Raw genomic sequence first — 16,596 nt, 5'->3', positions numbered from 1 at the left:
AATACTGGTTAACACAATCAAGTTGTATGAGATATCTCTTAGAGACACAATGAGGCTTAAAATTTTGTCCAGGCTGAATAAGTGGTGGTGATAGTGGGTGTTGTTATTTTGTATGAGATAATGGGGAAAAGCTTCTCCAGTGATGTTTGAGCAGAGATCTGAAGGAAACAAAGGAGCAAGCCAGGGGCAGAGCAAGCCTGGCAGTGGAAAAACCAAGGGTAAAGTCTCCGAGGAGAAAGCCTGTTTGGCATTCATGTGGCCAAACTGCTCCAGCACAGTTGTCAGAGCCCATTTACCAGTCATGAACATGGAGCTCTAGCTGGCATGACTCAGATGCATTTTTGTTGTTCATTTATTTTCTAAAGAGTTGGGGAGGATTTCTGCTATTTCATGGGCCAGTGACTGAAGCCAGCCCATGACAAAATTTTCACCAGCCTAAAACACCTTTGTGATAAATCCCTGACTGCTTTATATTGAATGATCGGTGTTTCAGCTACAAAGCCCAGCATGAGTGGCCGGCGTGGAGTAGTGAGCACCATACAGCTGTCTTCCTGCAGCCCTCACCTGGATGTGGCTTCTTAATGTCTGTTTTTTTTTCCCTCACCTAGGGCAAGCAACTGTAGATATATGGAGGCTGTTTTTTTCTGGCACCTCTCAGCTTACTGACAATATTCTATATTGAGTGTAATATTGTTAAAAATTTACCTTCATTTTCACTGCATACTTTTATGAAATTGAATTTCAACCAGTGCCTAATTAAAACAAAATACTGGATTGGCTAGGCACGGTGGCTCATGTCTGTAAATCCAGCACTTTGGGAGGCCAACGCAGTAGGATCACTTGAGGCTAGGAGTTTGAGAACAGCTTGTACAATATACATAACGAAGAACATAGTACCACTTCTCTATAAAAAATTATCTGGGCATCGTGGCACACACCTGTAGTTCCAGATACTCAGGAGGCTGATGAGGGAGGATCACTTGAGCCCAGGAGTTTGAGAGTGCAGTAAGCTATGACTGTGCCACTGCATGCCAGACTGTGCGACAGAGTGAGACTCTTGTCTTTTAAAAAATAAATAAATAAAAATAAAAAACAAAACCCTAAATACTGGAGGAATTTGGGTATTGGAGTTCAACTTTATGTATACGAAAGACTATAAAGCTCCAAACTGATGGATTTGTATTAAGAAAATAGTTACACATATGTGTAATATAAAAATAACATTTTATAACAAATTTTCTGCATTTATAAAAGTGTTATATTCTATTTTTTAAAAAAATGACATACGGTATAATCATACAAAGGAACATTATTTGTCAATAAAAAGGAATGAAGTACCGACACATGCTATGGCATGGATGAACCCTGAAAACATGATGCTCAGTGAAAAGACAGTCACAAAAGGACCCATGCTATGTAATTCTGTTTATATGAAATTTCTGAAATCGGCAAATTGATGGAGAAATAAGTTGCCAGGGGCGAGGAGAAACAGGGAACATGGAGTGACTGCTAATAGATATGGGCGGTTTCTCAAAGGGTGATGAAAATGTTCTAGAATTAGACAGTGATGACGGCTGTGCAATTCTGTGAAAATAACAACTGAATTTGTAAAACTGAATTTGATGGAATGTAAATTGCATCTCGACAAAACTTTTAAGAAAAAAAGACAGTGTAAGTTTACTACCTATTTTTTCTTGTAGAAGCCTGCCATTTGTTTTGTGCTTATGATTGTTTTCTACATTTGGGTGTGAAAGCATTTACAATTAAATAATAAAAATCATATATGAGTGTTTTAAAAATGTTTACTTAGCAAAAGAAAGAGAATGTTAGTTCACACAGTTTGCTGGATTTTTCAATCCAGAAGCCTGGGATCAACTGATCTGCGTCATGCTGAGGTAAAAGCAGCATCAAATGAAGACACCATCAACGTGCCTCCAGGAAATGAGTAAGTATTAAGAATACATAGCTTGGTTTTCCTGCTAATTACTTTAAAATATCTGTATAACTTTTCTACATCTCACTAATGTTGTATCCACTCTGAGTGTTTTATGGCACTCTGATAGGAAGCAAGAACTTCACCCTTCAGACACAAAACAGTTAATGTGTGATCTCTATAAGTGAAATGAGCAAGACCTTAAATTTCAAATGTCTTAGAGGATTGAAAATATCTAGAATTAGCTTTGAAAGTGTTACACAGTAAATTGCTCTCTTTGTCTTCTGTTCATTAGAGCAAATAGGTTTTATAAGTTATAGAAACCCAGATCAAAATCAGTTGGGATGTTGCATTCCTCTCATCCATGGAGAGATTTTTTGGCTTCATGAGCGTAATAAAATTTCCCAATTTTGCCTCTGTATGCGAAGTTGTCATGACTGCTGGGGGAAACACAAATAACTTCTGGGCAAGTTCCAGCAGTGAGTTTATACTATCATTTCACTTTCTAAGTTTAATATTTTTTTCTCTGCAATTGTCTTTTTCCTTTCTAAGGACATTTTTTTTTTTTTGGTCTGTTGATTTTAACTCACTTCTTGAAAGGATGACTGTTAAATATCTGTCTCCAACTATGACTCCTCTCCTGAGTTTGATTACATTTTGTTTATTGCTTTTTGGAGTACTTTCACTTGGATAAATATTTTTATTTGATAATGCAATATCTAAAACCAAGCTAACAACTGCAATCTGTGCAGAAGAAAGTAACTATGATGGTTAGGAGTCTAGATAGAATGTCTGAAAAATAGTCAAGAGAAGTTGGAAACTTGTCTTAGAAAGGAGAACCCTTAAGCAAGTACCTGAGTTTTTAAAAATATTTGAAGGATTAAGACAGTGACGATGAATGCATAGTTTCTTGTTCAGTGAAGGCATACCTTAATAATTTGTATCACCCTGAGCTCCTAGCCAAGTGTTGAATGGATAGATAGATGGATGGAAATAGGCAAACATCATTAACGTATTACAGAGTTTTCTAAAAATTAGAACTTTCCAGTAATATAATGGTCTATCCTTTAAATTAGTGATTTTTTTCCATTGCTAAAAATATTCACAAAGAGCTTGGGTGACCATTGCAAGAGAAATAATAAGCATATGATTCTGCATTGGGTGGAAAGTTGAACTACTTGTTAGGATGGGCTCGTGAAGAGCAGTGGTCCCTGCCAGCACTAATGGACAAAAAGCAAAATTTCTGTTCAGTTATCCACTGAGATTCTGATTTGTTTTTACTGCAGCATAACCTCTCCTTTCCTAATACATAGTCTTTGGTAATAATTTTGGATAGGACTCTAACATGCCATGTGGCCTAAGGAAAGTCAATTAACTTTTCCCTTTGGACTTACGTATCAGTAAAAATTGGGGACTAAATTAAATAATCTCCAGGGTTGCTTCTAATAAAAATAATGTAATATTGTTATTGTGTGAGTCAAGAAAATTCTCTGGGGAAGTAGTGGTATTATCACAAATGTGTTGATGTAAGTGTGTAGGGTCAGAACCCTATCACATTTTATGGACCAGGGAATGTTTTCCTAGAAGACGTCTTTGAAGATTTCAGATAAAGAGAATGTCATGCCACAATATTTTTTGTCGAATAGTCAACACTAGAACTATCCTGAGATGTTACATAATCTTACTTTTCTTTGATTCAGGGTAAATTAACATGGAAATCTTATTTCAGCTGTAATAGAATAATAAATACCAGTTACTGAATATTTTTCTATTCCAGGTATTCCACTGACATCATCTTGCCCAGTTATCTATCTGTCTGTCTGTCTATCTATCTATCTATCTATCTATCTATCTATCTATCTATCTATCTATCTGTCTATCTATCTACCTACCTATCTATCCACCTACCCACCCACAGGAGACAGTGTTGTTACTTCCCGAGTTTTACTAATGAAGAAACAGGTTTCCAGGAAGAATACTTTTCTAACCAAATACCAATGCTAGGATATAATTCCAGATTTGCCTGGGTCAAAAGCTTTGGTTCTTGATCTCTAAAATATTTTTGGAGTGGGTTGTAAACTTTTAAGCCGAGAAAATGTTGAAAGTATGGTGCTTAAAATTTAGTCTCATCTCTTTTACATGTAGCTAAATTGATTTCATCTACCAAATTCACTCTCCAGGTCTTTCAATTTTAGTCATATGTTGGCTTTTCCAAAATTAATTATAATCTCTTTTTTAAAGTTCTTCAGTTTCAAGAAGTTTTTTTGGCAGTTTTTCTCTTTATTGCTTTTTTTCAAATTTGCCATCCCACACTACTTCATATATAATATGCACCTGTTATGGTCTATTACTCTGTCTATAATTTTAAGTTCCTAATTCAAAATAACAAGCAAAACAGTACTAAATTATAAGCTGCGTGGATTTCTATCACTGTGTGAAAGGCATGTCATTTTGTATTTTTACCTTTCACTACAGAAAATCAAGACACACAGATTGAACTATTCCTAATCAAAATACTTCCTGTTCTTTCATATCTATTATTGTATCTTTTCTGACACACTCTTGATATATCTTCCCTAATGCCTTTTACCTTGACTTTTTGTTCTCTACCCATTGTATTACATAACATCTTATAGTAGAGATTCATGACCAATTATAATATTCTCTGTGTACAATATCAGAAAGCAAAGAATAGATACATATGTAAAAGATAATTCTTACTTGATGTAATATCAAGAATAAAAATGGCTATCTTATTACTCAACAAATCTGAATAACAACTCAAAGAAAACCATAAAATAAAATGGCAGACAAAAATAATTTTTATTTAATCTAACTTTAAAGATTTAAATCCTTAAAGAGCTCAATGCTCTGCCTATAGGCCATTAAAAACTTTATACATAGTTTTTGATTTTGAGGCATTTTTCCTCCTGAAATAATTATTTTATAGCAGTTTCTTTATAGTGCACATTATGGTTATCTCTGCAACAGCCATTTTACCCTTTCCACCCCTTCCCCTTGTACTGCTACCAGCAGCCACAACTCTACAGAGGTGACCCGTTATTATTTAGCCCAATTACAGTAATCCCACTTTTCTTATAGTAGCTAATTCTGTACTCAGATAGCAAAGGAATTACATCAGCAGTAAACATGTGACACAATTAACGCCAATGAGATCTGCAGACAAATTAGTTGAAGAATTTTAGGGGAGACATATTTTGTCCTTCTCAGAAAGAGTTTTAAGGAGTCAGATGTTTCTGTTTTTGGATGCTGTGGAGGTGAACTCTAGAACTACTGCAGCCATCCTGCTACCATGAGAAAAGTCAGCTTCGGAATAAATTTGTTCCTGCCAAGGTGAATAGAAACCCATCAATTCTGATTACTGTCCTGAGATGGACCTACCACTTACGAGAGCCAATCAAACCTATTTCTTTGTAAAGTCAGTTTGTATTGGGTTTTCTGTTACTTGAAACACATATAATGAACTCTGATGCATTATTCCTTTCATTTTTGTATTTCCTATTTTTTTCCTATAATGCACAAATACATCTATGTACTGTTTGGATCATACCTCAATATCAGATCATTAGATCATATTTCAATATATCAGATACTTTAAGGGAAACTAGCTTACATGGCTGTTTTATGAAAGTAAAAAAAATTCAACCTTGAAACTCACAGAAACCTTTAAAGATTATGTAAAATTTCTTTGAAATATATAAGGCAGGTCAATGATAAAGGATAATAAATTCTCCTTAACTATAATGCACTGGTAAAATATATTAAGTCTTTGGTGTACTTATATTATTTTTAATTATTGTTAGTCAATTATTTTAACTAACCAAACAGACAAAATATCTTAAAATTTCTCTTCCAAGCCTACTTAGGATCCTAGTGAGTTCCTTGATGTATAAGACTTTTCAATGGAATTATCTTATCAATGCATTAAGCCAAACAATACTATGTGACTTTCAAGAACTTTCATAACCTGAGTCCTCCCCCAGTCTCCCTACATATTGCCCCCATCCACATCCATGCACCTGCAGTTCCAGACTCTTCACAACTCTGCTCCCTTCAACTCTTGATGCATCTTAAATTTTCCATCTGTGCTTTTTGGTCAAGTTCTTCCCTTACTTCTCCAAAAATGGAGCTCTTCTCTATACATACGCTCTACAATGGTACTTGGCTCTTTGGCTCCGATTATACATCACCGAGCACTTGCCTCTAATGCTTCAGTTTTTCTCTGTAATTAGGTTGTCAGATCCGGAAGGGCAGAGATCGAGATTTATTTCTCTTGTAACCTCCCTAAAGCTTCAAGTACTGTGTAGTAGAATGGATATTAAATAAATACTTGCTTGATAAATTAACCATGTTTTTACTACCTATCTTACAAAATTTGTTGCATAGAAATGGAAAAAGATTTAAAATGACCAGATTGGCCTAGGGTTGCTAGATTTAGCAAATAAAAATACAGGATGATAAGTTAAATTTGAACATCATGTAAATAAAAAAAATTTTTTTAGTGTAAATGTATCCCATACAAAATTTGGGACATAATTTTACAAAAATGTTGTCTGTTTCTGAATTTAAAAGTAAAATATAACTGGGTGTCCTCTATTTCTTTCTGGCAATCCTAGATTGGCCTGACCTAGAAACCCGCCACCCCCCATGCCTATTTTCCTAAATTAGAATGGGTTACCACATTTATGACTTATGCAAACTTATATACTTTTGCTAATCAAGTCCTGTGGCATATGAAGTTCTCTGCATTGTTCTCTCAGTCAGGGACAACAGAGACTCAGTATCTATTATGTGAAATTCATCATGCCTGCCCATGTACCAGGAAACAGAGATGAATACGGTGCCATCTTTGCCCTTAAGTAGTTCCTCATCTGGTACAACAGACAGTCTATTTCACTCCAGGCTTTAGTTGATGTGCAATCCTAGTGTGAATCCATGTAGTCAATAATATTTTTTATAGGCCTGACCTACCTCTAAAAAATACACTATACCTGTGTATAGTGTCATCTAAGGAAATATCCCAGATGACACAATACACAGATTGTCAAAAATGAAGTATATTGTTTTTGAAGTACATGTTAAAAAGTTCTTAACTTTGAAGTGTTATGTAAACAGCACAATTTATAATTCTACATTTGATCTTAGCCAAAAGGCCGGCAAATGATAATTTATAACTTTAAATAAAAATAATTATTCATAATTTATTTTGATCAGCATATTGAAATATCAGATTCTGATAATTAATTTCAAGTTTTTATTGTGGAAGATTCTTTTTCTGATTACTGCATATTTAATATACATTTTTACTTTTTAGCATAAGCAACAGAAATTGAGTGCATGACGTTTTTTTCCCTTCTCAGCCGTATAAATCCTTCACAGGTAAATACCATGCTAACTACTTAATCTGGGTTACTTACTTAGGTGACTGTTAGGATCCCTTGATTTAGATTTTGAACTTCTCTGCTGTGTGGTCTTGGTCTGCTTTAGCTAATCTCTTATCATCCAGTCTTTTCTGCAATAAGGACTAAGGTCACAGGAGACCTGGTTTTCTTTGCATGGCACAATGCCATAATGGCAGTGTGTGTGTGTGCAGGTGTGCACGTGTGTGTGTGTGTGTGTGTGTATGTGCACAAAGTTTGATAGTTTCAAATTCCTAGTAAACTTTTTACTAGTTTTATGCCACATACATCCAGTGCTACTTGTAATAATCAAATATTTTACATACAGGTACAAAAACATGTTTTTCATAATAGCATTAATGTGTGTAAAAGCATTTCTTAGACTTACAGCATACAATTCAAGGTTGTAATATAATGTCACCTTAATATACAACATAGAAATTTTCAGTTCTGGAGTAGTGTCATATTTTTCCTTTCTTTCTAAACATAAACTATTGATCTCAACCCTCTACTCTATATTTTTATAGAGGTCATTTTAAATGAAGATAACGAGGCATAATCCATCAAATGGTGGTTTCCATAGAGCTCAATTTGTTATTAACAGAGGCCCGTGAAATCATAAATGGAGTAACATTAAAAGGTAATGAGAATATTGGGGGAAGTTATATCAATTTCAATGACTTGTCAGTTACCTAGATAGGAGCCCATAGTTCACATTACCATTATAATAAAGTATTTGAAAATTATGAAATACTCATTTACATTGTATATTTTAGGTTGTCAAAAGTTACCTTGGGTAGTTCTTCAATTTGATTGGCATCTAGATAAAGCTCCTCTAATGTTCGTTCGAAGTTAAAGACCTCCTTTGGCACCTGCTGAAGACTGCAGTGGGAGTAATCTAAAACTGAGATGATTTCTTCTTCACCTCGGAAACATCGGCATGGCACCAGACGGCCGATGATTTTCCGTTTGGTGGTCATCTCCAGGCACTGCACTAGAGAAACGCAGAAACAAAACAAAACAAAACAGCTTATCCAGTGCCCTTGGAAGGCATTCTTGTAATATTTAAAGCTTAGAAATTTAATTTTGGTATACAGTCTAGAATACTTTAAAGTAGGACACACACACGCATTGTATCATTAAATCCTTAAACAGCCCTGCGAAGTACGTGAAATAGGTTTTATTCCCATCTAGCAAATTCGAAAATGGGCTCAAAAAGTGCGAGAGATTTCCCATCATCACACAGCTTTGGAATGGCAGAATCGAATTAGGATACAATCCTGTCTCAGTTCAATGCTACTAGCATGCTTACCTCCTCACTTGAAACATGGAGCTATAATATGTTTTCTATTTTTACACAAATTACAGTGTAGAACAGAAACTTCCAGAATTTGCGGAAAAAAACATTTCTCCCATTTCTGTAAAAATATTCATGTTTCAATCCCAAAGTTTATGATGTACTCTTTGTAGCCCACAAATTTCATCGGTGAATAGATATTTACTGAATAACAGCTGTTTTAGGCACTGTTCTAGTGGAGACAGTGATGCATTGAACAAAGACCCTGTTTTCATGGAGTTTTTATTCCGTTGAAACTACAGATTATAATTGGATTGGTTATTCACTTCCAAATGGGGATCTATCTTTACGAACCTTGTAATATGGGATAAAACAACTTGTAATTATGGTAGAAATTCCTGTGACACTCCTGACACATCTTTCTCCTATTCCTCTAGGTTAAACTGACCAAATGCCATGAAATTTTGCGAAGACTTTTATCATGGCACCTTCAACATTTTATTCAATCTACTGTTTTTCATGTATTTTTTCCTCCTAAACAGTAAGGCCTTTCAGGGCAGTGATTATTTTGTTCATTCTTGTATTTATCTTGGTACTTGATATATAGTATGTATTTAACAACAATTGTAGAATAAACAAATGAAAGCATGAATGAATAAATGAATATACTTAGGACTCTCCTCCTAATCACCGTCAGCTACTGATAATTGCTTGAAAAACTTATTTTAACGAAAAGGTCACTATCTCTGTGAATGTCTTCCTAGGAAAGATGAGTAGCATCTTTCTCTGAGTTCCCACACCACTAATCATATTGTTTTCCTAATTGTGTGGGCTATTTCCCCATGTATCAGGCAAGTTCTCTGAGGAGATCTTGTTTCACTTATCCTTAAATTTACAGTACATAGTGCAGTTTGCCAACTACAGAATTAAAACTTAATAAACATGAATTTGAAACTTGCATTTAACTTGCTAATGTATTTTTACTTAGTAACACAAATTTATTGCTTACACAGAAATTAGTAACATTTATAAAAACAATGTAGCATTTTGTTTTTAAAATTGCTCATGTTAAGTCAAATTTGGAGACAATCATTATCTAGCAAATTAATGCAGGAGGAGAAAACCAAATACTGCATGTTCTCATTTATAAGTGGGAGCTAAACACTGCGCAAACATGGCCACTAAGAAGGGAACAATAGACACTGGGGCCTACCTGAGGGTGGAGGGTGGAATGAGGGTGAGGATTCAAAAAACTACCTGTTGGGTATTACGTTCATTATCTGGGTGATGAAATAATCTGTATATCAAAATTCTGCAACATACAATTTACCCGTGTAACCAATGCTGCACATGTGCCCCATGAACATAAGTAAAAGTTAGAAGAAAAAAATATTTGGAGGCAATCAAGTAGAACATGCTTTAAGAGGTGCTAGATGTTCAGCCTAAAGTGATCCTTTTTCATTGTTCAACTTCTGAAATTAATAAAAGGATATTCTAGGGACAGGTTCATGAATAAATACTTATAGACGATTGTTTGCACATGGTAATCTGTAGAAGGCTGAATAAAAACATTTAAAAAGTTGACCTTTCTTCTCCATTACTTTCTGTCTCTCCAACTCCTGTTCTTTTCATTTCTGGGAACCAGAATCGCAAGATTTTGTAACTATTGTTTTACATAACCTTACTTGAAATTCTTGATTGTAGGATTGATGCCTTTCATGTTGTTACCTGGCATCTAGCACATAGTAGGCACCCAGTAAATGCACCCTCATAAGTGTCTAACATATTATATATAATAGGCACTTAGTAAATGTTTGTTGTGATTATTGCAGTTGCAAAGGGAAGTGGTGATAGCATAGACTATGGTAGTGGCAGCGAGGATGAAAAGAAGTGATGGATTGGGAAGATATTTAAGAAGCAGAATCTAAAATTTGATGATAGATTAAATGAGAGGTGGAAAGAGAGGCTATGGGAGAGAGGGGAGGGTCTTGAAAGATTTCCAGGTTTTTAATTTGAGTATCTAGTAGTCACATTAACCCACCCCCAGTGATGCAATAGAGCTGATCCACGGCACACACCCATTTGCTTCTGTATCCACAGAGGAATAATAAATCAATTGTTCATGCTTCTTGTTGCCCAGCGTCTCTCACTCACCATGGCTATTTCTTGATGTCTGTGTTGCTATCATTGCACATTTTAAATTATGAACTAAGAGGAAAAACACAATATCCAGGCCTGAACCTAAACCATTTGGCCAGTGTCCACTGTCTACCAAAACTTTTGAAATTGTATTCACTTAGGCACTTTCCCATTCCTTAAAACAAACTCTTCTAGTCATCTTTTGTATTTCTTTGCTCATCCCACAACAGGCTGAACTACTTCCTTGGCCCAGCTTCTTCTCTCCCCTCTGCTCCATGGGAATTCTTCAGTTGTGTCTATACCATGATAAACATCTTTATTGAGGCTCAGTCTCTCTTCATTGAATCCTCCTCACTCCCATCCTCATAGACCCAACTAAAACTTGGTTCTCCCCTAAGGTAATTAGATACCTCATAGCCTTTAAAAGCAGAGCATGCTGATTTTCTCACATCACATGCTGATTAGCCAATTTCTGGTTGGAAGGTGGGATTGCTGTCCCCCTTGCACTTTAAAAACTATGAATCTTCTCTCATCTTCTAAAATCCCTGTTCATTTGATGGTCTCATGCTCTATTAATTAGGAAGTATTAAGTAGAAAGTATTAATATCTTTCTACTTGTCCTCACACCTTTCGTTTACCAATCTCTTGTACATTCCCATTCTTTCATTGATGACTCTGGTATCTAGATTACGGACTTTCAACCACAATTCCTTCTATTCCTGATTTATGCTCCCCACACATAATAACTTTCAACTTTGTAGGGGTTTTTCCCCCTGAATTTCTAAACAACTTGATTGTAGTGCTACTCCATGACTCCCCTTAACCTCCACTCTGGAGTAACCTTTTAGGAATAACATATCTTTTTGATTTAGTCTGGAGTGGTTGCTTTTCCAGCTGTCATCCTAGAATTACTCTTCACTATCATCCTGTGAATTTTTCATTTCTTTCCTGTGTTATATTTCCTATTTTCTTGACCCCATGTCATTTTCTTTCTAGATTTATTCCTTCATTTGTGGAGCATAATGTCTGTTCACTTGCTGAAAAAGGATTTATTTTCCTTTTTGATACCTCAAAATATACCTCAAAAAAGGTGTATTTTTTGAGGACTTGCATGTCAGAAATACCTTTTCTTTATAAATAAAAAAGTTTTTATTTATCATATTTTCTAGTTTCCAGGGAAACTCAGTTCCATTCTTATTCAAAATCCTATTTCACACCCACATTTTTCTCCACCGGAAAGTTTTAAAATTTTATTTTTCCTCACTCTTGAAAATTCATGACAATATGCTTTGATTTTTTTTAATCTATCATACTAGGCACTTGATGAGCCCTTTCACTCTGGAAGCATTTATCCTGCATTCTGTTAAATTTTTGTTATTATTATTTAATTGATAAGTTCTTCATTTTTTAAAAAAAATCATTTTTCTGTGATTTCCATTAACTGGATGAAGGACCTGTCTCTTGGACTTATCCTACAATTCAAATATTTTTTTCTGTTGAAATTTCCATGTTTTTGTCTTTTTAGTCTATTTTCTGTGAGATTTTCACAACTTTATCTCCTAAATCCATGTCTTGTCTTACCCTTTATCTAATAGCATATTTTTACTTACAAGAGTTGTATGTTGTTCCCTGAATCATCTTTTTTCATAGTATCCTATTTGTGTCTCAAGGTGCCATATCATTTTCATTTTCTCAGAAGATATTAACTACAGATTTTCTGTCTTTTTCCCCTTGGTCCCTGTGTTATTTGAGTTCTACTTTCTGCTTGTTTCTTTTGATCTTCATTTTTCATGGTAAAGGTTGTCCACAAATATCTGGTGATCCCTGACTGTCTTCCTATACTGAAGAATGAAACCCTCAAAAGCTAATCGGAAGTTTTGCAGGCTTGATAGGTTTTAGTGCAGGGTAATCTGGCAGCAAGCCAAAAGATATTCAGGAAAAATATTCTGGAGAAAAATATTCTGGCCTTCTGCCTGGGGTATAGCCATGTTACTATGTATATAGAGACTGTCAGTCAGTTTTCCTATTTTCAATACTAAGTCTCTTCAATTTCTTGCCTGGTACCCAATATTTCCAAGATTCTAAGAAGGTCTGTGGTGTATAATCTATTTTCATATCCCTTTGTGGGTACTTTGTTATAATGTTGCTAATAATGTGCTTTGCAACTTGTACTATATATATATGTATGTATATATGTACACACATATATATGCAATGTAGATATACATTGCATTTATATAAATATATATACATCTTTCTTGTATTCTAAAAATTTCTGAAGTTTATTATCTGCTGATGTCTCCTTTTATATTTTCTCTATCCTTGCAAAATATATATATATATACTTTTGCATATATATAAATATATATATTTTGCAAGGATAGATTATATATATATATGTGTGTGTATATATATATTCCTTTTGGTTTAGTGGAGTCTTCATTACAAGAATAGATGCATTAGGAAAGTGAGAGATTCATTTCAATGTTAGTGGAGTCTTTGTTATAAGAATAGATACATTAGGAAAGCAAGAGGTTAATTTCAATGTTTAAAGGAAGTTTTGATTTTAGTTCCTTTTAGCCTTTTAATCCTTCCTTAGTTGACATATTAGCAAGTAGTTCTGGGCACAGAACTATATTGTCCTTTTAAAAACACTCTTCCTTTGGCGTCCCTGACATCAACTCTTCTGACACTTATCCGTCCACTTTGGTTCTTCCCTTTCAGTTTTTCGAGGTGTCACTTTCTCTACCCAGACACTGAGAGTTACAGTGTTAGAATTTGTCCCCTAGACTGTTACCCTTCTAATTGTACCCTTTTTTTCTTTACAATATCATTCAGCTTTCCCAACTCTCACTTCATTTTTCATAAGTTAAATGGTAAGTGGATGACTGTACATTTTTTTAAATGTCTAATGCAGATTTACTTCCCTCGTCATTTCTACTTTATGTTTTATAGGCATCTCACAACTTACAAAGATGCACATTTCTCAGAAGTTGTATGTCACATGCACATAATTGGCATAATGCTCTTGAGAGGTCCGTAGCACATTACCATTGTCAGGAGCTTGGACGCTGGAGCAAACTGCCTGACTATGTGACCCAGGGCACATTATATTACCTCTATCAGTTTCCTCATCTGTAAAATACTAGAATACATACAAAACACTTAAAATTGTATCTTCAAGTTGTAAGCATTTACTTAGTGTTAGCAATTACTGTTCTACCCAAACCTCCTCCTCCCATGTTACCAATCTCAGCAAACAGCAGTACCACTGACCTAGTTTCTCAAGACAGAAACCTTGGCATCAATTTTGATTCCTCCAATTCTCTCACTTTCCACATTTAACAATCACCATCTCCTAAACATTAAATACCCTAAACATTTCCTGAACAAGCCTGTTTTTCTTCATCGCAACTGCCTATTGACCTAGTTCAAACCATTATCATCTCTTGCATTTATTCCTGTGTTTCTCTTTCTATTGTTCTCACTCCACAGTGTAGCTAGATGACCTATTGAAAACACAAATATGATTATGTCACTCTCTTGCTGCAAATACTTCAATGACTCCTCTCTGTCCTCAAAGTAAAGTCCAAAATTTTTCCTATGACCTACCAAGTACGATATGGTCTCATTGTCTGACTCTTGTCTTCCAGATTCACACCCAGCCCCATTGCACAACCTGGCCAGGTACCACACTTCTCATTGCTTTCTGTGCTCTTTACACTTATGGCTTCCTTTGTATTTTTAAGATTATATGACCTCTCCTATACTAGAGCCTTCAGATCTATGGCTACCTCTGCATAAGGCACAAAGGTACATTTCCTTTGCTTTAAAAAATTTAAATTAAAAAGGGAGAATGACTTCTTTCTGTTCATCAAGGTAGGTTGTGATTCTTGGGACTATATTACCATATGCTGTAATTCACTTTGATCATATTTTAATTACTCACTCAATATCAATCTTCTTTACTAGATTGAAAGTTTTATGAGGCTAGAGAGCATGCCTAGACTGTTCAAAAATATGTATTTCTGGTAACTTGCCAAGTCTATGATTTAAAGTAGATATATTAAAATATTACCTGTATAAGCAAATGAATACGGGTGTAAAATATGACTAATTACTTTTATTTGTACACTACTTGCAAAAATTCAAACCAATTTACAATCTGTCACCGTGCTTTTTCATGAGAAATAGATCATATATTATTTTCCACATTTTGATGATAAACTAATTTAGGTTTAGTGAGTCTATGATGTGCATAGGGTCATACACAAAATAATTAGTAGACCTAGGCTTGGATCTCATTATCTGTGCCCTAAAGCCATTGATTTTCCTGTTAGCCGACTCTGCATTACCTTGATAGCAATATTTATAGATCAGCATATAAGAATCTACAGACATGAATTTACCAGAAGTAGTTCTAACACACACACACACACACACACACACACATACACACACACACGACAATGATTTATGTAAAGGATACTTTATAGGTACAAAACAGAATGAGGAAGTAGCAGGAAAGGAAACAATTTGCTTATCCAGTGATCTTTTAATATCAAAAGGATGAGCATACAATATGGTGGAATGGAGAAAGTGTTTCAGAAACTGAGTTGAGCATAATACACAAGAAATCACAAATATGTTACACATATAATATATGGAAGTACATATCCACATTTTCCTGAAACATGGCCACCGTCCAGTATACATTAGAGAACACATTGCTTTAAATGCAGTATTTGGACTTGAGTCAGTAACAATCCGGTTTCCTGTGTTACCACATGTCTGCACACAGCCAAAAGAGGAATTCTTAGATTCACAGTTTTTCAAAGGGATTAAAAAAGGCAAGAAGAAAACAGGTATTCATCTCTTTCTGTTAAGGCCCTTCTAGTAAATGTCTTAAAATCAAGGATAAGGACATCCTGTTCTGGTTTCTCCACAATGCTGCATGGATTCCCTTCTCTCTTGAATGATATTGTTTTCAATTTAAATTGAATATCTAATGGTGATTTTTCTTTTTCTACAACTGCAGTGTGCAGTCAATAGCTTCCTTTTCAATACTCTCCCACAGAGTCAAACGCATTTGAACAGCAGTGCTTGCTAGCATGGCCTAACCTAGGTGAATAACAGAGAGACTCATCTTGCTACCTTCTTCAAATCCTTCCCTACTGACAATTTAAACCAAAGATAATTTCAACCACTTGAGAATTCTGCCTGTAGCAGATAGAAATAATGACAATATATGTATTAAGAACATTCAACTTTCAATACTTATGCATTCTCTAGAATTTTAGACCAATGCTCATTTATGTTATCCTTGCCTAATATTCCATACCTGGAAAGAGAAAGAGACAAAGGAAAGTTCAGTCTTTCCAAGATTTCTTGTGACAAATATCCTGGCTGTCCTCATTAGTTGGCACAGTCTTGCATTTTTCAAATGACAAATGTATCTGACTTATTCATTGAGAAACCTTTTTCCTCATTAAGTGTGCCACAGGGATATGGAAATCTGCCAGACTCGTTCCATGTCTTACTTCAAGAACATCTTTAAAATCATTACCTACCCTCAAGTACATCTCTGAAACCCCTTTATCAAGAGAATATACATGGTGATTCTGGTACTCCAAAGGGGCATCTGAGGCTTATTTGATATTTTGACTCTTGAAATGATCACATTTGAAGACTTCCCAGACTTCATGGGTTTGTTTTCATCTTATCACAATATCGGAAAGTCTGTAATCCTTGTACATGGTTTGATTTGCTATCAATACAGGGAAACCAGTTTTTCTTCACCAAGATCA

General features: G+C 35.0%; 1 protein-coding gene and 1 long non-coding RNA gene across 11 annotated transcripts in view; one reads left to right on the top strand and one right to left on the bottom strand.

The window, feature by feature from the left end:
• Positions 1–16,596, bottom strand: part of LRRC7 (leucine rich repeat containing 7) — a 576,443-nt gene that overhangs the window by 375,827 nt on the left and 184,020 nt on the right. For all 10 annotated transcript variants that reach the window (NM_001330635.3, NM_001366839.3, NM_001370785.2 and 7 more), the window contains one exon: positions 8,145–8,347. In NM_001330635.3, the coding sequence (NP_001317564.1) occupies positions 8,145–8,347 (203 nt within the window). The remainder of the gene's footprint in view (positions 1–8,144; positions 8,348–16,596) is intronic.
• Positions 7,730–10,234, top strand: LOC124904199 (uncharacterized). The gene is made up of 2 exons (XR_007066167.1): positions 7,730–7,993; positions 9,088–10,234. It is a non-coding gene; the product is annotated as an uncharacterized LOC124904199 (long non-coding RNA).

Source organism: Homo sapiens, chromosome 1 (assembly GCF_000001405.40).
Source record: "Homo sapiens chromosome 1, GRCh38.p14 Primary Assembly".
In the NCBI taxonomy this organism is placed as follows: Eukaryota; Metazoa; Chordata; class Mammalia; order Primates; family Hominidae; genus Homo; species Homo sapiens.
Note: the sequence above shows the minus strand (reverse complement) of the source record. Positions and strands in the feature narration are given on the sequence as shown.